Source organism: Homo sapiens, chromosome 9 (genome assembly GCF_000001405.40).
Source record: "Homo sapiens chromosome 9, GRCh38.p14 Primary Assembly".
Taxonomy (NCBI): Eukaryota; Metazoa; Chordata; class Mammalia; order Primates; family Hominidae; genus Homo; species Homo sapiens.
Genome location: NC_000009.12, coordinates 41354593 through 41376639, shown reverse-complemented (window position 1 = coordinate 41376639; position 22047 = coordinate 41354593). Strand labels below are relative to the sequence as shown.

Here is a 22047-nt window from a genome sequence, read left to right as displayed (position 1 = left end):
CTAGTTTCTAACAAGTTCCTCAACTCCATCTGAGACCACATCAGCCTGGATCTCATTGTTCACATCATTATCAGCGTTTTGGTCAAAGCCATTCAAAACGTCTCTAGGAAGTTCCAAACTTTCCTGCATTTTCCTGTCTTCTGCTGAGCCCTTCAAACTGTTCCAACCCCTGCCTGTTACGCAGTTCCAAAATTGCTTCTGCATTTTCAGGTATCTTTTCAGCAGCATCCCACTCTACTGATACCAGTTTACTGTATTAGTCTGTTTTAATGCTGCTGATAAAGACATACCCAAGACTGGGCAATTGACAAAAGAAAAAAGGTTTAATTGGACTTACAGTTTCATGTAGCTGGGGAAGCCTCACAATCATGGTGGAAGGCAAAGAGGAGCAAGTCGTATCTTACGTGGATGGCAGCAGGCAAAGAGAGCTTGTGCAGGAAAACTCCCCCTTATAATAACCATCAGACCTCATGAGACTTACTCACTATCAGGAAAACAGCACAGGAAAAGCCTACCTCCATGATTCAATTACCTCCCACCAGGTTCCTCCCACAACGTATGGGAATTCAAGATGAGATTTGGGTGGGGACACAGCCAAACCACATCAATGAAGCTCTCTGTTGTATATGTTAATGCTGATAATGTTTTTTTGTTTTGTTTTTGAGATAGAGAAGGAGATCTTAGAGACAAAAAAGGGGAAGCTCCATTAAAATTGGTAAAGGAAGAAACATAATATGAAAGGAGGGAAATAATAAGGTAAAAGATGCAGAGACTGCTTTCCAGACAAAGTAAGAATGAACTTCACTTTGGAATAACAAAGCAGTGCTTGCTTGGCAAGGTGAGTCTTAGAATCTGACTAACATCAACAGGGCAGAGTCTCAGGTAATTAACAAAACCAGGAAGGAACAGGGAGCAGCAATGCTAAAACACAAGAAACCAGGTTACTTTGTCCTACTTCATAGTTGTTATTTTCCTAATCATTGGAGATAAGCTATGATTAACAGAAAAACTACCCATGTAAAATATTGTCACCCAACTTTTAAGAAAAACAAGAAAGAAGATACAAAACTTAGCAAACAGAATAAGTAATTTCAGAGAATCAGAATTAAGAAAAGAAACAAATGTAATTACAGTAAGTGTAATTCATATCTTCAGAGACATGCAAGAAGAGGTTGCATTTTAGAAAATACTGATAATAGCTCTTGGATTAAAAACTCAACAGATGTTCTGAAGAGAACAATAGACATAGTTAAATATAGATCTAGCAAGTTTGAAGTTTAAAAGTTGAATAATTTTCTCTGAATCCAATGGCTAGGAAAAAATGAAGAAAGGTAAAGGGAGGTAAAGTGAAGATAAAGAATTGTTGACGTAAAGTTGTTTAAAATGCTAGAAAAAAAGGAAAGTAAACATAAAGATGGAAATAATTAAAGAACTAATTTAAATATTTTTTAGAACTAGAAATACTGTAGATTTGAGATTTAAAGTTTTCATAGAAGTATGAACTTATATTAATGGAGAAATTCTACTGACAGACATCTCTTGAAGAAGCAATGGGATACTAATGATTAGGACAGAATCATAAAGACTTCCAGAGTAGGAGGATAGAAAGGTAATTTTCAATGGAATAAGAAGTAGATAGAAAAGAAAATTTATTCTTAAACATGTAGATGTTGTTAATAACTGGGACAAGACCATCAATGTCTGAAGAAATAAATGTTTTTACAAATAGTGTCCTATAAGTACCCAAATACGCATTTAATTTTGTGGACAAAGCAAAGACAATTGTGCATATCTCCCAATTCCCAAGCATTTAAAAATCCAAAAATAAAATAATAAAATTAACAAACAGATTTTTAGAATTATATCTGGCAGGAGTTTGGATCAGTCATAGAGTGCAATAGCATACTTGAAAATAAGGACAATATGGCCATTTTAATGATATTGATTCTTCCTATCCATGAGCATAGAATGTTTTTTCATTTGTTTCATCCTCTCTGATATCTTTGGTGTTTTTAGTTCTTACAGAGATCTTTCACCTCACTAGTTAGCTGTATTCCTAGGTATTTGATTCTTTTTGCAGCAATTGTGAATCAGATTGCATTCCTGATTTGGCTCTCCGCTTGACTCTTGTTGGTGTATGGGAATGCGAGTAATTTTTGTATGTTCTTTTTGTATCCTGAGACTCTGCCAAAGGTGTTTTTCATCTTAAGGAGCTTTCGGGCCTTAAGCTTTTGGGCCTATAAAGTTTTCTACATATAGGATCATGTAATCTACAGACAGGGATAGTTTGACGTCCTTTCTTCCTATTTGGGTACCCTTTATTTCTTTCTCTTGCCTAACTGTTTTGGCAAGGACTTCCAATACTATGTTGAACAGGAGTGGTGAGAGAGGGCATCCTTGTCTTGTGCACAAAATACACTAAAATAAAATTGCTTAAAACTAGTGATAAAGAAAAATTCTCAAAGTGGCCAATGACAAAAACACAGTTTGCACAGAGGAACAAAAAATGCCAGCAAACATTTTATTAGAAACAAAGAAAATTAGAAGATAATGAAGCAACATCTTTAAAGTACTGGAAGATAAACATTGTCAGCTGGGAATTGTAGACTCAGAGAAACTATCTTTCAGGATGTAGGTGAAATAAAGATTTTTTCAGGCACTTAGAACCTGAAAGAAATCATCACCAGTAAAACAACACTATAAAAAATGTTAAAGAAAAAGTTTCAGGCAGAAGTAAAATAATATCAAAAGGAAATTTGGATCTACATAGAAGAATGAAAAGCACTGGAAATGGTATCAACATGGTTAAATATATAAGATCCTTTTATTTCTGTTTGAATTCAATTGATTGTTTAAACAAGGGGTCAGCAAGCTATAGCTTCATGGGTGGACTGCCTGTTTATGTGAACAAATTTTTACTGAGACACATTCATGCTCATTTGTTTATGTATTATCAATGGGTGCTATAGAATTACAAAAGCAGAATTAAGTAGTTGTAACAGAGCCTAATGGCACACAAGCCTAAAATATTTAGCTTTTAAGGAAAGCATGTCCGGTTCTGGTGGCTCATGCCTGTAATCCCAGCATTTTGGGAGGCCGAGATGGGCGGATCACGAGGTCAGGAAATTAAGACCATCCTGGGCAACATGATGAAACCCCGTATCTACTAAAAATACAAACATTAGCTGGGTGTGGTGGCATGTGCCTGTAATCCCAGCTACTCGGGAGGCTGAGGCAGGACAATCGCTTGAACCCAGGAGGCAGAGGTTGCAGTGAGCTGAGATGGCACTACTGCACTGCAGCCTGGTACAAAGCTAGACTCTGTCTCAAAAAAAAAAAAAAAAAAGAGAGAGAAGAAAACAACATTATTAACCTCTAATTTAAACAAGAATAATAACAATTTATAATGAGTTTACAACATATATAAAAATAAATTAATGACAATAACAGAACAACAGTTAGGATAAAATAATGAAAATGTTGTTACTTCATGATACTGTATGTAAAGTAGTATATTATAATTTGAAGGTAGAATGTGATGAGTTAAACATGTATACTACAAACTCAAAAGCAACCATTAAAATTAACAATATAGAGTTTTAATTCTCAAGTAAAAAAGGAGATAAGATGAAACCATAAAATATATTTGATTCATAGAAAAGAAGGCAAACAAGAGGGAAAATAAGCAAAAAACAGATGGGATGGTAGGGGAAGCAAAATTTTATTACCATCTTCTTAGTTTTTTTTTTTTCCTCTGCTAAGCCTGAGAATTAAATTGATATAAGACAGATCAACAGGAAAATGCATACAAATTTATTTAATGCATGTATTATGTGGCATGCGAGATTCTTTAAGGAAGGAAGACTCCATGACATAATCACTTATGTTCTGAAGTAGACACAGAGTAGTAAATTGTGAAATATGACAAGACAAAGGAGCTGGAACTAGTGTAGTTAATTGGGTGAAGAGGTGATTAACAGGATAAGGGTTGGTTTAACAAGGTCTGTTTGTACAGGTTTCCCTTGCCTCAACTTCTCATCCTGGGTGATGAGACTGTTACTTTCCTTCTTGTATAAAGAGGGCAACTTTCATGTAGAAATTTTACCTCCTACTTTTAAGAAAAAGGAAAATCAGAGTGCTTTAAAGGAAAATCAGAGTGCTTTTCTTGCATCTGCTATTTTTCAAGTGTCTTTAACTCAAAAAAATCAATATGCCAAAGTGGCATGTTTGGGGGTATCTGGTTCTGAATTCCTTCAGGAAAGATAGAAAGCAAAAGCAAAATAATAGGTTTAAAACTAAAAATATCCAGGTGCGGTGGCTCACGCCTATAATCCCAGCACTTTGGGAGACTGAGGTGGGCAGATCATGAGGTCAGGAGTTCGAGACCAGCCTGGCCAACATAGTGAAACCCTGTCTCTACTAAAAATACAAAAAATTAGCCAGGCATGGTGGCGGGCACCTGTAATGCCAGCTACTCAGAAGGCTGAGGCAGGAGAATGGCTTGAACCCAGGAAGCAGAGGTTGCAGTGAGCCAAGATCATCGCATTGCACTCCAGCCTGGGCAACAGAGCCAGACTCTGTCTCAAAAAAAAAAAAAAAAAAAAAAAAAAAGAAAAAAAAATATGTATATATGCACACATAACCACATTACATATAAATGGTCTAAATATACCAATTTAAAAGCAGATTGGATCAATGAAACAAGATCTAAGTTATTACTGTCTAGAAGAAATTCAAGAATATCCTAATAAAAGATATCTATGTAAAAACAATAGCTGGCATCATACCTAATGAAGAAAAATCAGTTTATTTCCCCCGATTTCAGGAACAAGATGAGTCCATTAACTCTTAGCACTTTGTTTTAACATTTCACTAGACGTTCTACCAAGTAAAATAGACAAAAAACATAAACAAAAGAATTACAGACGGGAAAGGAAAATGTAGATTGGGTTTATTTATAGACGGCATGTCTATGTAGAAAGTCCACTGAAATCTACAAAAACACTGCTGGCTATAATAAGTGAGTTAGCAACATAAAAAAGAAAAAAAGCAACATATTAAACTAATATTTCCATATACCAGCAATGAACAATAAAAAATTAAAATAAAAGTACTATTAATAATATCATGAAAAATGTAGAAGAATTAGGAATTAATCTATCAAATGATGTAAGAGTCTGGTACACTAAAACTCAAAACACTGCAGAAAGTTAAAGAAGACTTAAATAAATGGAAAGATGTAATATGAATATGGGTTAGAAAATTCACATGGTAAAATGTGATTATCCCTAAATATAGATTCAATACAGTCCCAATTAAAATATTATTAGGCATTGTTTTATAGGAATTTACACACTAATTTTAAAACTTCAGTAGAAATGCAAAGAGTCTAAAATAGCCAAAATAATCCTTAAAAATAAGAATATTTTTGAAGGATTAGCACAATCTAATACCAAAGCTTATAAGGCTACAGTAATGAAAATAGTGTGATATTGGCATAAAGATAGACAGAAATGTCATTGGAAGATAATAGAAAATTCAGAAATATATGTACAGAATTTTGGTAAATTGGTGTTCTCCAAAGATACAAAGGTAATTCAGTAAATAAAAGATAGCCCTTCAACAAATTCTGCTGGAACAATTAGATACTCATATGCAAAAAGTAGAACTTTAACACGTAACTCATGATACAAAAATTAATTTAGTACAGATCATATGCCTAAATGTAAAATGTAAAAACAAAGTGAAAAAAAAGGAAGAAAAATTATGTATAGGAGAAAATATAGAAAAGTATTTGACCTCAGGCTAGTAAATACTACTTAGACATGACACAAACACCGTTTCATCAAAGTAGAAATTGACAACTTGAGTTCATCAAAATGTAAAACATATGTTCCTCAGGAAACACTGTAAAACAAATAGAAATATAAGACACTACTGAGAACAATATTTGCAAAATATATGTCTGGCAAAAAAGTTGTGTCCAGAAAACATAAGAACTCTCAAAACTTGATAATAAATCTAACAACTCTAATAAAAGTAGGCAAATGACTTAAATGAATACTTCTTCTCTAAAGAACATATGTAGATAGAAAGTAAACACATGGAAAGATCCTCAATATCATTAGTCATTAGGGAATTAATCTGTGTCTGTCAAAAATGAGTTGGGTACAGTTGCTCAAGCCTGTAATCCCAGCACTTTGGAAGGTCAAGGCAGCAGGGTTTCTTGACCCCAGGAGTTAGAGAGCAGCCTGGGCAACATAGTGAGATCCTGTCTCTACAAAAAAGAAAGAGACATGGCATGGTGTCTCTATTTAGCTAGGCATGGTGGCACATGCTTGTAGTACCAGCTACTCGGAAGCTGAGGTGGGAGAATCACTTGAGCCCAGGAGGTGGAGCCTGCAGTGAACTATGGTTGTGCCAATGCACTCCAGCCTGCGTGACAGAGCAAGAACCCATCTCAAAAAAGAAAAAAAGAGGCCAGGCGCAGTGGCTCACACCTGTAATCGCAGCACTCTGGGAGGTCAAGGTGGGTGGATCACCTGAGGTCAAGAGATCGAGACCAGCCTGACCAACATGCTGAAACCCCATCTCTACTAAAAATACAAAAATTAGCTGGGCATGGTGATGCGCGCCTATATCCCAGCTACTTGGGAGGCTGAGGCAGGAGAACTGTTTGAACTCGGGAGGTGTAGATTGCAGTGAGCCGAGATCGCGCCATTGAACTCCAGCCTGGGCAACAAGAGTGAAACTTCGTCTCAAAAAAAAAAAGAAAGAAAAAAGAATGGCTAAAGTTAAAAAGGCTGGTCATGCCAAGTGTTGGCAATACTATAGAGGACAACCAACATACATGCACTGCTAATGGTAATGGAAATTAGTACAATGACTCTGGAAAAAGGCTTGTCAGTTTTTAAAATATTTTGACGTATGCACCTATCATATGACTGCCAATCAATTTGTAGGGAAATGAAAGTATATGTAAATAAAAAACTTGTACCAAAACATTCACAGCACTTTTTTATAGGAGAGAGGGGCTAATAGTGAAGAGCATGTAACAATCAAATATTCATTAACAGATAAATGAATAAGCAAGCTTTGATATATCCATATTTTGAAATACTACAAGCAATAAAAGAAATGAAACTTTCATCCATACTATAAAATAGATTAATCTCAATAAATATGCTAATTAATAGAAGCTAGATCAAAAGAGAACAAACAGTATGATATCATTTATATAAAAAGAGGCATTAGAGCCTAGTAGTTAGGAGTGCAGCTTCTGGAAGCAAAATCCTTAGTATGATGTTTTGGCTCATTGACTGCAGCATTTATTTTATGTGCGCTCTTAAGGTTTTTATAGAAACAATATGCCTCAGTTTACTCATCTATATAATGACTATATCGATAGTCATCTACTTTATAAAATATAGTATTTTATAATGTAATACTTTATAATATATATTTGATATATATTTTAAAATGTATTTATTATATTTTATAAAGTATAAATAATATAAAATAATATCTATAGTTGTTGACTTATAAAAATAAAGATTAAATGAACAAAAATATGTGAAGCACTAGTTTACTACCTAGAAAATGGTACATTCTAAATATCTTCATGATTGTAATAAATAAATGTATCCTTATATGTTATTTTATTAATAATAAACAAAAATTTATTTTTAGAATAATGAATATAATTATTTTTATTTTTAGAATAAATAATAATGAATAATAATATTATTATTCATACTTATACACCTTTGAAAAATCATAGGGTAAGATGATTGAAATTCTGTGTATAGCATCTCAGCAGATGAGATCTATAAGAAAGAACCATTGCACCCCCATTTACTTAAATCAGTTATAGCTTAAGTTGTTTGAAAAAAGTCATTTATTGGAATCACCACATGACATCAATCAAGAGCAAAGTGTGTAGAATACTGTCAAGTTTCTCCAAGAATTTATTTCTGTTTTCAATTTGCAACTCACTGAAGCATTGAACATTTTATGAGCTCTACAGCTAACAATGCCTGGGAATTTAAATATTTTCCATGGCATATGATTACTTCAAATGAAAAAAAAGAAGCAGATATGATAATGAATAATTTACCATGTATATATGGTACAAAGTAGAATCTTTAAAAATAAAGACACAAACAGCAACAACCACAAAAACCTCAATTGTTTCTGCTTTTGTTCTATTTTTAGTGAACTTAAAATTTTAAGAGAAACTCTTTCTCCTTGTTTTTAACACGTGTAGAGAGAGGTGTGGAATATTGTAAAGCTTTTTATCTGACTCGGCCTGAGTCTCAGTAGATGAAGACTCATCGAGTTTAGTAGGCCGAATAGTTTTTTCTAAAAGATATGTGATGCGTTAATCCTTGGAATCTTTGAATATAATGACACGTTAAACAGTGAATATTACCTTATATGGCAATGCTTGTGATTAAGTTAAGGACTTTAAGGGAAGGGGCTTATTCTGAAATATACTCACGGGTCTTTAATTCAATGACAAATGTTCTTCTTTTTTTTTTTTTTTTGAGATGGAGTCTTGTTCTTTCGCCCAGGCTGGTGGAGTGCAGTGGTGCAATCTCTGCTCACTGCAACCTCTGCCTCCCAGGTTCAAGCAACTCTCCTGCCTCAGCCTCCTGAGGAGTGGGATTACAAGCGCCTGCCATCATGCCCAGATAATTTTTATACTTTTATTAGAGGAAGGGTTTCACCATGTTAGCCAGGCTGGTCTCAAACTCCTGACCTCAAGTTATTCGCCCTCCTCGGCCTCCCAAATTGCTGGGATTACAGGCATGAGCCACTGTGCCTGGCCTGACAAATGTTCTTTTAAGAGTGAGTCAGAGGGAGACTTGACACACAGAAGAGGAGGCAATGTGACCAGGGAGCAGAGATTGGAGTGGTGCAGCCCCCAGAAGCTGGGGTAAAGGAATGCTCGCATGAGTAAAGGAATGCTGGCAGCCCCCAGAAGCTGGAAGATCCACAGAATGGATTCTCTCTAGGGACCTCAGAGCGAGTGTGGCCCCACTGTATTTAGGACTTCTAGCCTCTAGAACTGTTTTAGAATGCATTGCTGTTGTTGAAGTCATTTAGTTTGTGTCAATTTGTTGTGATAGCCTAGGGAACTAATATAATGAAGCATGGAGAGAGAGAGAGGATAAAAGGTGAAAACCATGTGCCAAAACTAAAGAGATGCTGACATTTGTGATTAAATAGAATAATTGCACTATTTAAGATTAATCACTTGAGCCTCGGAGGTGGAGGCTGTAGTGAGTCATCATGGTGCCACTGCATTCCAGCCTGCATGACAGAGAGAGACTCTGTCTTAGGGAAGAAAAAAAAAGATTAAGGTGGTCCAGAATGCACCCAAGCATAAAATGCAAAGATGATCTTGCCCCATGTATATTTTAGCATACTACTTAGGTACTATTTATTTTTTAATTATCTCCTTTTTACATTTTGACAATTTTACCCCAGTGGTCAAGCCTTGTATTAGAAAAGACAGAAAGAAGGAAAAGAAAGAAGGCAGGAAGGAAGGCAAGGGGAAAGAAGGGGAAGGAAAGGAAGTGGAAGGGAAGGGGAAGGGAAGGGGAAGAGAAGGGGAAGAGAAGGGGAGGAGAAGGGGAGGGGAAGGGGAGGGGAGGGGAAACATGTTGCTTTGGACAGAATAAATGGGTAAGGGTTTCTATTTTAATTAGATTAAGATTAATTAGATTAAACCTCTGAGGAAGTCTTACTTGAGCTGAGAAACTAAATATGAGAGGGAGGAGTACCACTGCATTGGTTATAGATGGGGTAGAAGTCTACAAAAGAGTTCATTGAGGAATAGAATAGTAAATAAGTGACTTAATAATGAGTTTGTTGCCGGGCGCAGTGGCTCAAGCGTGTAATCCCAGCACTTTGGGAGGCCGAGGCGGGCGGATCACGAGGTCAGGGGATCAAGACCATCCTGGCTAACACGGTGAAACCCCGTCTCTACTAAACAAAATACAAAAAATTAGCCGGGCATGGTGGCGGGAGCCTGCAGTCCCAGCTAGTCGGGAGGCTGAGGCAGGAGAATGGCGTGAACCCGGGAGGCGGAGGTTGAGTGAGCCAAGATCGCGCCACTACACTCCAGCCTGGGCGATAGAGCGAGACTCTGTCTCCAAAAAAAAAAAAAAAAAAAAAATAATAATAATAATAATGAGTTTGTATTGTTCTTATTTTGCAAAAGAATGCAAGATCTGGGTAGAGAAAAGGCAAGAGGGAGGACTTCCCAGATTGAATCAATAATATTAACAGTATCAATCTGCCACTAATAATTATTTAAGAAAAGTATTTTTCTGCTTTCAGTTTTATTTATTAAATAGTTTCTGCTAGCCTAATGTTAAAGTCTGCCAACTAGTTCCTTCAAGTTAATCACATTCACTTTTGATTCCCTCTTAACACATTAAGATATTTTATAACTCTGTGAGTTTAAAATCTGATGCAAATTCATTGTGGTCAGGCAAGATGCAAGACCAGTCAGGCAAATACACTTCCCTTATTTTTTATGGGTCTGAAATATCTTTTGTCTTGGGAGATGTATTATTATACAAAAGATCTATTTGGCAATTTATAGTTTGCTTTTTATCTATTCAATTGTTCCCTGGTATTCTTAGAACAGAAAAGCGAACCTTTTAAGAATAATAACATGCCAATTACCTTTAATTACTCTCTAGCTCTTTCAGTTAAACAAAAAAACCCTCTCATTTTAGGTTTAGTTTGTAACTGAATAGAACATTTTATATCTAAACCCTTAATGGAAAGGCTTTCCTATTTCCCACAATTTTCTTTTCTATTTAATGTATTCTCTAAATTTAACACATTATTTAAAATGCCATCCATATACCTGATCAACTTGAAAAGATGGAGAAACAAAGAAGTAAAGTTTGTTATCTTTTCACATTTTATTCTGTTTCCATTTTCATAATCAAATAAATGTAGACTGTAAAATACTTATTTACAAATCTGTCTGATTTATATAATAAACTCTGAGGAAACTGGAATGAAGTAGTGCTACAAGCAAGGGACAGAATAAAGTTTTGTGTATTAATTACCTGATTTATACTTTAGTCCCTTTAAGTAAAGGAACGTAACAAATAGAAGGATAGTTATTAATATATTTGGAGGAGAAAGAAAGATAAAATGAAAGATACAATGTTCTTAAAAACCGAGAGTTTTATCTTTTTTCAGAAGTCTAAAAAATATTTAAACATCTTCCTTTATGTTAGCGCATATTTATGTTATACATTTCATTTACAAGTAATTGTATGGTAAATAGTTACAAAAACAACAAGGAAAAGCTTTGAGTTAAGGAGCTCATGATTTTCAGTGTAAAATACATGTTATTTGAGTAATTTGGGAAACTGACAGAAGCTTTCTTGCAGTCAAGAATGCTGCTCAAAAATTAATTTTAAAATAAAAATAAAAGAAAAAAAATCCTGAAAGCTTATGTAGCAAAACAAGTATTGTAGTCCATTACAAAAATTAGCCTTTTCTGAAATCATGTTAAAAAGCAAAAAGATCTTAGAGCAGAATTTCATGTACAGTTCATTTTGGAACTGATCTTACTTCCTTGGTAGGTGGTCTTACTTCATCCTGTTGGAGCCCATCATGGAGAGCTGTTTTACAAATATTCTTAGCTCTACTACCCACATAAAAATTCAACCTATGACTCCTGTTTCTGATAAAGTAGCTATTTAAATTCATTAAGAATGTTTCATCATTTTAGTATGCAAAATGCATTGTTAGATTATGTAAGTGACACATGCTATCTTAAAAGTTAATAAATCTCCCAGAAGAAATTAGACTCAGATGCTATATTTATTATGGAGAATTAAGAAATACCTAAGGTTACTGTGATCATCACTTAGGAGTTTTGAATCAATTATATGAGAAACTAAAGAAGAAACTTTGACCGGAAAAAAAATGAACCAACAAGAAAAAAATTATATAAAGTCATTTTATTGGACACAAATGCTAAAAATTAGAAAAACCATACATTTTACTCTATCAATCTGTTAGGAAAAACTATAGAATATGATAGTGATTGCATTGATTCTGCTTAGCAAATTAAATGCAAAACTAAGATATTCACCAAATATAAAATATAGTTATTTTCTAAGAAATAAAACTCACACAACTGCCATTTTTAGCAGAATGGTGGCAACTGCCATTTTTAGCAGAAACCAAAACTATTTCCTGTTAACAAGAAGGAAAAACCATCAGTGAACACTCAAGTAATAATCAGGGGACTAGGATGAACTCTCAGTAAGAAACCACTGGAATATACCTGGACTAAATCTATTCTAACAAAATTAAGTATACCAACCGAATAGTTTTGTGTGTGCATTTGTTTTTACTATATACTTTTATAATCTCAAAAGTACCTAAAAGGAGGCAAAACAAGAAAGGATTTGTCTACAGAAAGTAAAAATAAGAATGATTATAAAATATTGTTAAAGAAAAGACACTGCACAGAATAGTCATGGAGATTTCTGTACTAATCACCTTGATCATAATGAATAATCACTGAATTTCACTGGCCTATTTTCCTCCACAAGATTCTATGTTAGGTAAGCAACTTTGGGTAATTCAATAATAGGAAAGATGTTTCTTTTATAACATATCTGATTTGTACAACTAATTGAAATACATTTTATGCTATAAAATAAAAATGGTAACTCTTATTTACACAGCTATTTATTGTGAATTTGTATAAAGACAGCTCATCCTTAGAACATAATAGACTAGGATTCTTGGTAAAGTATATATTGTATATCTGAAAAATGTAATAGTGACAATATTAAAGTGTTGCCACTTAGTGCTGTGTTACCTAAAGTGTGTGACGCTTTCTGTCAGTCTTATCACTGACATTTAAATTTCAGATATAGGTGAATTCAATATTGAAGTGAATAGAGCTACCGACATTTGCTTTCCTAATATTCATGGAAGTTGTTGTTGACCTCTCATAGATAAATAAGCAAATAATATCTTCAAAAATATATCTAACTTGACTCAAATACTTCTAAGTATTTTGTCATTTGAAGGGATATGAGCAAGTTGAGAAGAAGAAATGTGGAGAGAGAAATATTCATGAAAACTAAATTTATAACATTCAACTATTGCTCAATTCTTAGAAATTTAATCACTACTTATATTTTAAAGCAAAATATTTTTGAACTTATTTAGAAAAATATGACTTCATCTCTCATATGTCCATTCAAAGTTTTAAACAAAGTATAAAAGGAAATTAAACAGTGGAGGAAATGAGAAAGGTCATAGGCATTCAAGAGGTTTCAACAAATTTCTGGAGGAATGAAAGGTAATTGAAGGATGTGTTAAAATAATTTCTATTATTATCTTTATAGATTTAGTGTCCAGTAAACCTTTTATAAACAATCCAACTTGCTGTTTTGTGTTCTTGAACTTTATTTAAACTGAATTATATTGTACATATTCTTTTGTGACTTAATCATACCACTGCATATTATGTTTGTGAGAGTAAGCCACATTAACATATCTAAATAAAGTTATCTATTTTTTTTCTAAAGTGTAGTATTCCACTGTATGAATCTACCACATTCTACTGTTGTTTAACTTTTGCATTGCTTATAGTACTTAACTGAGCCTGTAAATATTTTGGATTACATTTCTTAATGGCCAACCATGTACATACAAAATAAGGAGTGAAAGCCAATTGCTGATTAGAATATATGGTCATCTTCAATATTACTGGGTAATACAAGCCTCTTTTTAAAACGGATATAATTTCCATTTCCAGGAAAGCATATGAAATTATTATTGCTCTATATGTTTGCCAGAAGTCTGTCTTGTCAGACCGTTTTTGGTCAATCTCTTGTATAAGTAATAATGTACATATAAAACATTTTCATTTGCATTTTTGTGTTAAAAATAAGTTAAAGTGATTCTAAATATGTATGGTGGACACTTACATTGTACATTTTATAAAGCACATGTGCAAGCCATTTTCTTTGTTTTACTGTCGGGTTTTCTGTAATTTTTGCCTGGCTTTACATTTAAATATTGATTGCCAAGGAATTGATTGTTAAATATTATATAAGGTAAAGAATCACTTTAATTATTTTCCATATGTATAGCCAGTTTTCTCACTCTCATTTATTGGCAAATTTATTTTTCACCACTGATCTATAATACTAGCTTTCTTACATATCATGGGTTCTTATATTTTCCTTACTGTAGTCTACCTATTCCATTTCATTGATTATTTATTACTTTGTTAATACCACATTGCATTAATTCTTATATTTCCTGTAATATATTTTTCCTTCCTCAATAAATTATTAACTGAATTTTAATATTTTTAGAGTTTACATAAATTCTAGAATTAGCTTGTCAATATCTAAATCAAACCTTACTGGGTTTTACTTTGGATGCACTAGTTACAAAGATTAATTTTGGGGAGAAGTGATTTCATTAAAGTCTTTCAATTCAAGAATATATTTATGTCAATGTTATGTCTATGTTTATTTGAACTTTATTTAAACTGAGTTATACTGTACATATTCTTTTGTGACTTAATCATGCCACTAAATATTATGTTTGTGAGAGTAAGCCACACTGACACATCTAAATAAAGTTCTCTACTTATTTGAAATGCATTTCAATATTGCATAATATATTTGTGTCAAAGCATCTTGCTAAAAGCTCATATTCATTAGTATAATGTATCTTAGAATCATTTTGAATTTTCTGTGTACTTAGTGTCATCGGTAACATAGTAATCTGTTTTCTCTTTCATAATTCTTATTTTTTTAATATTTACAATCCTATCCCAGTGTCTAAGACCTGCAAAAGGATAAATAAAATTGCTTGTACCATCTATGTTTATTTTGTTCCCAATCACAAAGGAAATATTTGAACATTCCATTGTTAAGTGTTATAATTTCAATAGAACTTTTGAAAACAAATGTTATCAGTTAAACTAGATTCTCTTTTAATTTCGGGTTGTTAAAATGTATGACTTTTTAAGAAAATAAAATTAAATATGCTTATAATATTGTTAAGTTATTTGTTGTGGTGTATCATATTAATTGATACCTTTACATGAGGCCATTATTGCTTCCCAGGGTTTCTTAGAATAAACATTGGCTGTGATGTCTTACATTTTAATGCATTGCTTATTTCTGCATGGAACTTTTTTAAGTTTTCCTTCAATATTTTCATAAATTACATTGGTGTTTAATTTACTTTCCCTTTACTATCCTTGTCAGGTTATAATATCAGAGTCATAATAGCATAATAAAATAAAATAGAGTATGTTCTTTCCTGTTTCATGCTCAGAAAGAATTGTATGTAAGATTGGAATTATTGTTTTGTTTCATGTTTGAAACAACTTGCCAGTAAAGTCATCATGGCTTGAAATTATCTTTATGATATGATTTCTGACTACTGATTACATGCATTTGTTGTAGCACAATTCAGATTTTTCTTTTCACTTTAGGTTACTTTTGGAAAAATGCATGTTTCAAGTAATTGTACACATTTTACATATATTTCCAAATTTATTGAATTAAACGTTTTCATACTACACTAATTTACCTTCTTGATATTTGTATTATTTATAACAAAACTCAATAAACTGTGGCAAATAAGCCAGACAGTATTTATAAATAAAGTATTACTGGAACACTGTCATGCTCATTCATTGACATACTGTCAATTTATGCCACAACAATAGAATTGATTAGTTGCAACAAACCATATAGCCCAAAAACCTAAAATAATTACCAACAGATCCTTTCCAAAAAACAAAAAAAATTCTTGACACCTGATGTATAATTATTTCCTATTTTGATTCCTGAGATGGCATACTTGTTTCTTCTCTTAATTTTATCAAGCCATTTCTCCAGAGTTTTGTTATTGTATGGCTCCTACAACAACTAACAAACTTTTGGCCATATTTCTTGACTTTTCTTTCCCTGTATTCTTAATCACTATGCATGTATTTATTATTTCCTTTTATTTCTGTTGATATTTCTAACTTCTACCAATAAATTCAAAACATTTTAAAAATTAATTTGTTGTCCTCATAAAATAAGAATTTAAGGTTCTACATTTTCCTCTAAAATGACACATTTTATAATGTAGTATACATTTTTTAATTAAAAATATTTTATAATTTCCATTATGATTTGCTCTTGGGTGTTGAGTTACTAAGAAGTATATTTCTGAGGTTTTTCTTCAATATGACTGACTATAGATATTTGACTCTAGTTATTCTCAGAAAGAGAAAGCAAAGTTATGGATAAATAATCGTTAATTCCAATATCTATATAGACGGAAGTGTGCTAGAGCACCACAAGAAGAAATTTGAACACAGAAAAATAAGGAAGCAAGAACCCAGCAGACATTATACTCTGAGGGACTTGATGTTCCATGGAAAAGCACAGGTGGGGGTGTCTTTTGCTCTTCTCACCTCTGCGGCAGACTGCTTGTTTCTGAACTGTTGGAGAGCCCTCCATTCTCACAAGCCCAAGCACTGGTGTGGGCCGCAATCTTGGAACAAATTGAGGACAGAGAACAAGGCTACTATTTCCTGCAGTGCCACTTGCCCTTCACCCAGCCCCAAGATGAGGTGGTGGGCACCATACTGGATATGCCTCTGTGGTGGACTTCTATACTGCCTTTGAGTGAGAGAGAGGCTTGCCCCATCCCCTTGCCGGCTTCCTTCTCCGTCCCTGCGTCGAGCTGTGGCTAGATTTCTCCATGAGGGCAGAGGGCAGGGCAAGAGGCGTGAGAAGCATCTTCTGGAAGGTCTGCGGGCACCCTCCTGCGGGTGGACAATGAGCGCCTGGGAGGCCGTTGTCCTTGGTTGGGGAGCGGTCGTCTGGATCTAGCCTAGCAAAGAGGCTGCTCCGGATGGGGAGGGAATGAAAACCCCTGCGGCTCCGACGCAGATGCCCACGTTGCCCAGGCCTTCACAGACCCCCAAGCCGGAACCGCCGGGAAAACGATTGCCAACCGGCCACAACACCCAGGCAGAGACGCGGGGAGAGGCTGACCAGAAGAAAGGCCGACGTGCAAGAAACCCAGCCTCCGGCGCACAGGGAACATGTGTCCCAAGGCGCACGCACACACAGACGGACAGAGACAGAAAGAGAGGGCGACGGAAAGAGCGAGAAGGGAGAGAGGGAGAGAGAGAGAGAGAGAGAGAGAGACTTAAGAGAGAGACGGTAGTGGGCACACAGACACGCGCGCGCGCGCACACACACACGCAGACACACAGACACACACACACCCCCATAACGGACACAGACATACAGCAGGTAACACCCACCCCCAGGCAGCCCCTGAAGCTGCCGGGTTCTAGTCTCCGCGACTACGAGCCACCGGTGAGACAGCAGCCCACGGGCACACAGGGAGACCTGTCCTTGACATCACAAGGGCGCCACTTTTGGGGAGACTCACCCGCACACCGTCCGCGCACGCCTGAGGCTGGGATCCCGCGCTGCCTCCCCGGCGATCTGTCTGAGGTTTCTTCCTCCTGGGGTTTCTTCCTGCTGGTGGACCCTCCGCGAATCCCGGCCTCCGGAGACCGTCCTGGTAACTGCCCTGGCCAGGGCTGGTCTCAGCCCCGACTCTGACGCACGATCACACAGGGCTCCTACTTCGCCAAGTCTCAGGGACCCATACCCGGGCAACGGTGGCGGTCACTGTGACCAAAGCGGCGGCTCGGGCCTCGCGCATGCGCACTGGCGAGGCCGACTCACCCGCCCCACCCCCCTTACTCGGCAGAGTCAGGCTGCGGACCCTTTAAAAAATGGCGGCGACGCGGCGGCTGCGGGGACTGGTGCGGCGGTGCTGGAGGTTGCGGCGGCGGCTGCGGCGCAGCCCCGGGCGGCGGGTGGGAAGAGGACTACCAGAGGGGCCTGCGGGAGACCCAGGGTCGGACCCATAGGAGTCCTGTCGTCAGGACCTCCTTGATCGGTCTTCTGCTTGGGTTCTCGGTGAAGGAGGAGCTTCGGGTGTTGGCTGGGCTGCGCGGACTCCTCTTGGGATCCGATGATGGATCCCACCCGGTGATCGGGAATGGGGTTACAATGCAGTGAGGCGGAAAGGCTCTCGCCGGGGCACAGAAAGATCCCCAGGGCCGCAAGGCGTGCTGTCGCCTGCAAAGGCACTGACCCACGAGCCCACTGCCTCCCTCCTTCCTGGGTGGAGCAGGGGCCTGCCTTCATCTCCAAGGCCCGGGGGCTCCGGCATCTCGACGCGGCTTCTGGAGACACGGGCAAAGAGAGACAGAGGCTAGTCCGAGCCGGAGCCAGTGTGACCACACGTGGCACTGACGTCCCCCAAGAGCACATGCAGTGAGCCTGTGTCTCTGAGGCCGTAGTGGGCGACGACGAGACGGACAGTGATGTCCAGGCCTGCGCCCGGGGGCCACTGGAGACCTGCCCCTCAAAGCGGAGGAAACGCCAAGCTCACCTGAAAACCTGCGAGACAGGGCCTGTGCACGAGTCCAGTACTCCTACTTCGCCAAGTCTCAGGGACCCATCCCCGAGCAACGGTGGCGGCGCAGAGAAGAGCACGGCGCCGGCGCAGGTGCAGAGAGACAGGAGGCTGATGGGGGGAAGTTGAGGCACCTGGGGCAGAGAAAAAAATGCATTGCCAAGAGGTTTCTGGGTCATCTACTGACGAAAATGTCTTCCCATCAGCCCTTGCGCTGGTCCCCAGGGACCCTGGCATCCGTCGTTGGCGCCCAGGGTGCGCGTCGGGCCACTAGGGGTACCCCAACTCGGACAGAAGGCCCATGAGTTGAATTTGAAGTTTGTGGGAATAGAGGTGAGGCACCAGGGGCAGAAAAAAAACAGGAGACCTCGCCTCAGACAAGCGGGGCCTGGGTCCCCCATGGATGAAAGTGCCTTCCCATTATGCTGTACCCTGGGCAGAGTGGACAGTGACGACCCTGGTTCGAGCCCAGGGTGCGCTTCGGGACCGCTTGCGGTTACCAGAAAGTGAACAAATGGTCCATGAGCGGAAGGTGAGGCACCTGAGGCAGAGAAAGTAAAGAAACGCGCCGCCGAGAAGCAGTGCCTGGGTCCCTCACGGAGGAAATTGTCTTCTCCTTAGCCCGTTCGCTTGGCAGTGAGGTCCCTGGCGTCCCTGGTTTGATCCCAGGGTACGCCTCGGGCCACTAGTGTTACCCCAAGGTGGGCAGAAAGCCCATAAGGGGAAGGCGAGGCACCTGGGGCAGAGAAAAAAAAAACTTCGCCGCAGAGAAGCGCGGCCTGATTCCCCACGGACGAAAGTGTCTTCCCATCAGTCCCTGCACTGGGACCCGGGGACCCTGGTGTCCCTGGTTCGAGCTCAGGGTGTGCCTCAGCCGCTACGTGCACCCCAAGGGGAGCTTTGGGAGCACAAAGCCCATGAGGGAAAGTGAGTTTTGAGGGAGGAGTGGTGAGGCACCTGTCACAGAAAAAGAAAAAAAAACAACCCGCGCCACAGAGAAGCAGGGCCTGGGTCCCCCACGATGAAAATGCCTTCCCATCAGCTCCTGCTCTGGGCCCTGTGGACCCTGGAGACCCTGGTTCAAGCCACGGGTGGGCCTCGAGCCCGCTAGGGGTACCCCCGTGCGCCTCTCTGCGCCTGCGCCGGCGCCCTGTGCCTTTGCGAGGGCGGAGCTGCCTTCTCCTCAGCACAGACCCGGAGAGCATTGCCAGGGCGGAGCTGAGTTCTCCTCTGCACAGACTTCGGAGATACAGCGAAGCGGAGCATGTTCTCCTCAGCACAGACCCGGGAGGGCGGGCCAGGGGCACCGCGAGGGCGGAGCTGCGTTCTGCTCAGCACACACCCGGGAGACACCGCGAAGGCAGAGCAGCGTTCTCAGCACAGACCTTGTGGGCACTGCCTCGCTTTGGGACTACTCGGAGCCGCATCAGTGGTGAATAAAATCCTTCCTGTTTGCAGCCCTTAATAATCAGGGTCAGAGACCAGTTAGAAGTGTTCAGTGTGGAAAACGGGAAACCAAAAGCCCCTCTGAATCCTACCCACCGAGGTTCTCCCCAGCCAAGGCGAGGCGGCCGCAGTGCGAGATCCACACCGCAGCCTCGGAAGACAAGCGGGCAGAAATCCCATGAGGGGCAGTTGAGGTTTGAGGAAGGCGAGGTGAGGCACCTGTGGCAGAAAAAAAAAAAAACCGCACCACGGAGAAGCAGAGCCTGGGTCCCCAACGGACAAAAGTGTCTTCCCATTAGCCCTTGCGCTGGGCCCAGGTGACCCTGGCATTCCTGGTTCGAGACCAGGGTGCGCTTCAGGCCGCTAGGGGTGCCCAAAAGCGGGCAGAAGGCCCATGAGGGGAAGGTGATGCACCTGGGGCAGAGAAAAAAAAAAAAAAAAAAAACCGCGCCGCCTATAAGCGGGGCCTGGCTCCCCCACAGAAGAAACTGTCCTCACATCAGCGCTTGCGCTGCGCCCCAGGGACCCTGGTATCCCTGGCTCGAGCCCAGCGTGCGCCTCGGCCTGCTAGGGGTACCCCAAGGCAGACAGAAGGCCCATGAGGGAAAGGTGAGACACCTGGGGCAGAGAAAAAAATAAAAAAACTGCGCCGCCCAGAAGTGGGGCCTGGGTCCCCCACAGACGAACGTCCCTACCCATCAGCCCTGAACTGGGCCCCGGAGACCCTAGCGTCCCTGGCTCGAAACCAGGGTGCGCTTCAGGCCCGCTAGTGGTACCTCAAGGTGGGCAGAAAGCCCATGAGGGGAAGGTGAGGCACCTGGGGAAAAGCGAAAAAAACAAAAACAAAAACGTCGCAGAGAAGCAGAGCCTGGGTCCCCGAGGAAGAAAGTGTCTTCGCATCAGCCCTTGCGCTGGGCCCCGGGGACCCTGGTGTCCCAGTTTCGAACCCAGGGTGTGCGTCTGGCCACTAGGGGTACCCCAAGTCGGACAGAAGGCCCATGAGGGGAAGGTGAGGTTTGAGGGAGGAGACGTGAGGCAACTGTGGCAGGAAAAAAAAAAAAAAAAAAAAACACGCCGCGGAGAAGCGGGGCCTGGGTCCCCAACGGACGAAAGTGCCTTCCCATCAGCCCCTGCGCTGGGCCCCATGGACACTGGCGACCCTGGTTAGAGCCCAGGGTGCGCCTCGTGCCCAATAAGGGTATCCCAAAGCGGGCAGAATGCTCATTAGGGGAAGGTGAGACACCTGGGGCAGAGAAAAAAAAAAACCGCGCCGCAAAGAAGCGGGACCTGGGTCCCCCACGGATGAAAGTGTCTTCCCATCAGCCCCTGCCCTGGGCCCCATGGACCCTGGCAACCCTGGTTCGAGCCCCAGGTGCGCTTCGCGCCCGCTAGGGTTACCCAGAAGCCGGCAGAAGGCCCATGAGAGGAAGGTAAGACACCTGGGGCAAAGGAAAAAAAAAACCGCGCTTGCAGAAAAGCGGGGCCTGGCTCCTCCACGGACGAAGGTGCCTTCCCATCAGCCCCTGCGCTGGGCCCTGGGGAACCTGGTGTCCCTGGCTGGAAACCAGGGTACACCTTGGACCCGCTAGGGGTACCCCAAGGAGAGCAGAAAGCCCATGAGGGGAAGGTGAGGCATCTGCGGCAGAGAAAGAAGAAAAACCGCGCAGCGGAGAAGCGGGGCCTGGGTCCCCCACTGACGAAAGTGTCTTTCCGTCAGCCCTTGAGCTGGGTCCCGAGGACGCTGACATCCCTGGTTCGAGCCCACGCTGCGCCTCAGGCTGCTACGAGTACCCCAAGGAGGAAAGAAGGCCCAAAAGTTTCAGCTGAGGTTTGAGGCAGGAGAGATGAGGCACCTGTGGCAGAAAAAAAAAAAAAAAAAAAAAAAAAAAAAAAAAACGCGCAGCGGAGAATTGGTGCCTGGGTCTCCCAGGGACGAAAGTGCCTTCCCATCAGCCACTGCGCTTGGCCCCATGGAACCTGGCCTCCATGGTTCGAGCCCAGGGTGCGCCTCGGGCCGCTAGGGGTACCCCAAAGTGTGCAGAAGGCCTATGAGGGGAAGGTGAGGCACCTGGG

At 40.2% G+C, this 22047-nt stretch overlaps 2 long non-coding RNA genes across 2 annotated transcripts in view, besides 4 other annotated features; both read right to left on the bottom strand.

Annotated features, from left to right (window-relative positions):
- The window catches only part of LOC107984035 (uncharacterized), a 123240-nt gene extending 105462 nt beyond the window's left edge, over positions 1 to 17778 (bottom strand). The window contains exon 1 of the long non-coding RNA NR_148348.1: positions 17488 to 17778. This is a non-coding gene — a long non-coding RNA (uncharacterized LOC107984035). The remainder of the gene's footprint in view (positions 1 to 17487) is intronic.
- The window catches only part of LOC124900272 (uncharacterized), a 90204-nt gene extending 71489 nt beyond the window's left edge, over positions 1 to 18715 (bottom strand). The window contains exon 1 of the long non-coding RNA XR_007061513.1: positions 18505 to 18715. This is a non-coding gene — a long non-coding RNA (uncharacterized LOC124900272). The remainder of the gene's footprint in view (positions 1 to 18504) is intronic.
- Positions 17515 to 17644: an enhancer, noted in NCBI's record as "active region_28429". NCBI's record gives its function as "activates an Ori minimal core promoter by ATAC-STARR-seq in GM12878 lymphoblastoid cells {active_cell/tissue: GM12878}" and the evidence as "EXISTENCE:reporter gene assay evidence [ECO:0000049][PMID:35858748]".
- Positions 18345 to 18484: an enhancer, noted in NCBI's record as "active region_28428". NCBI's record gives its function as "activates an Ori minimal core promoter by ATAC-STARR-seq in GM12878 lymphoblastoid cells {active_cell/tissue: GM12878}" and the evidence as "EXISTENCE:reporter gene assay evidence [ECO:0000049][PMID:35858748]".
- Positions 19823 to 19882: a silencer, noted in NCBI's record as "silent region_19922". NCBI's record gives its function as "represses an Ori minimal core promoter by ATAC-STARR-seq in GM12878 lymphoblastoid cells {active_cell/tissue: GM12878}" and the evidence as "EXISTENCE:reporter gene assay evidence [ECO:0000049][PMID:35858748]".
- Positions 20093 to 20142: an enhancer, noted in NCBI's record as "active region_28427". NCBI's record gives its function as "activates an Ori minimal core promoter by ATAC-STARR-seq in GM12878 lymphoblastoid cells {active_cell/tissue: GM12878}" and the evidence as "EXISTENCE:reporter gene assay evidence [ECO:0000049][PMID:35858748]".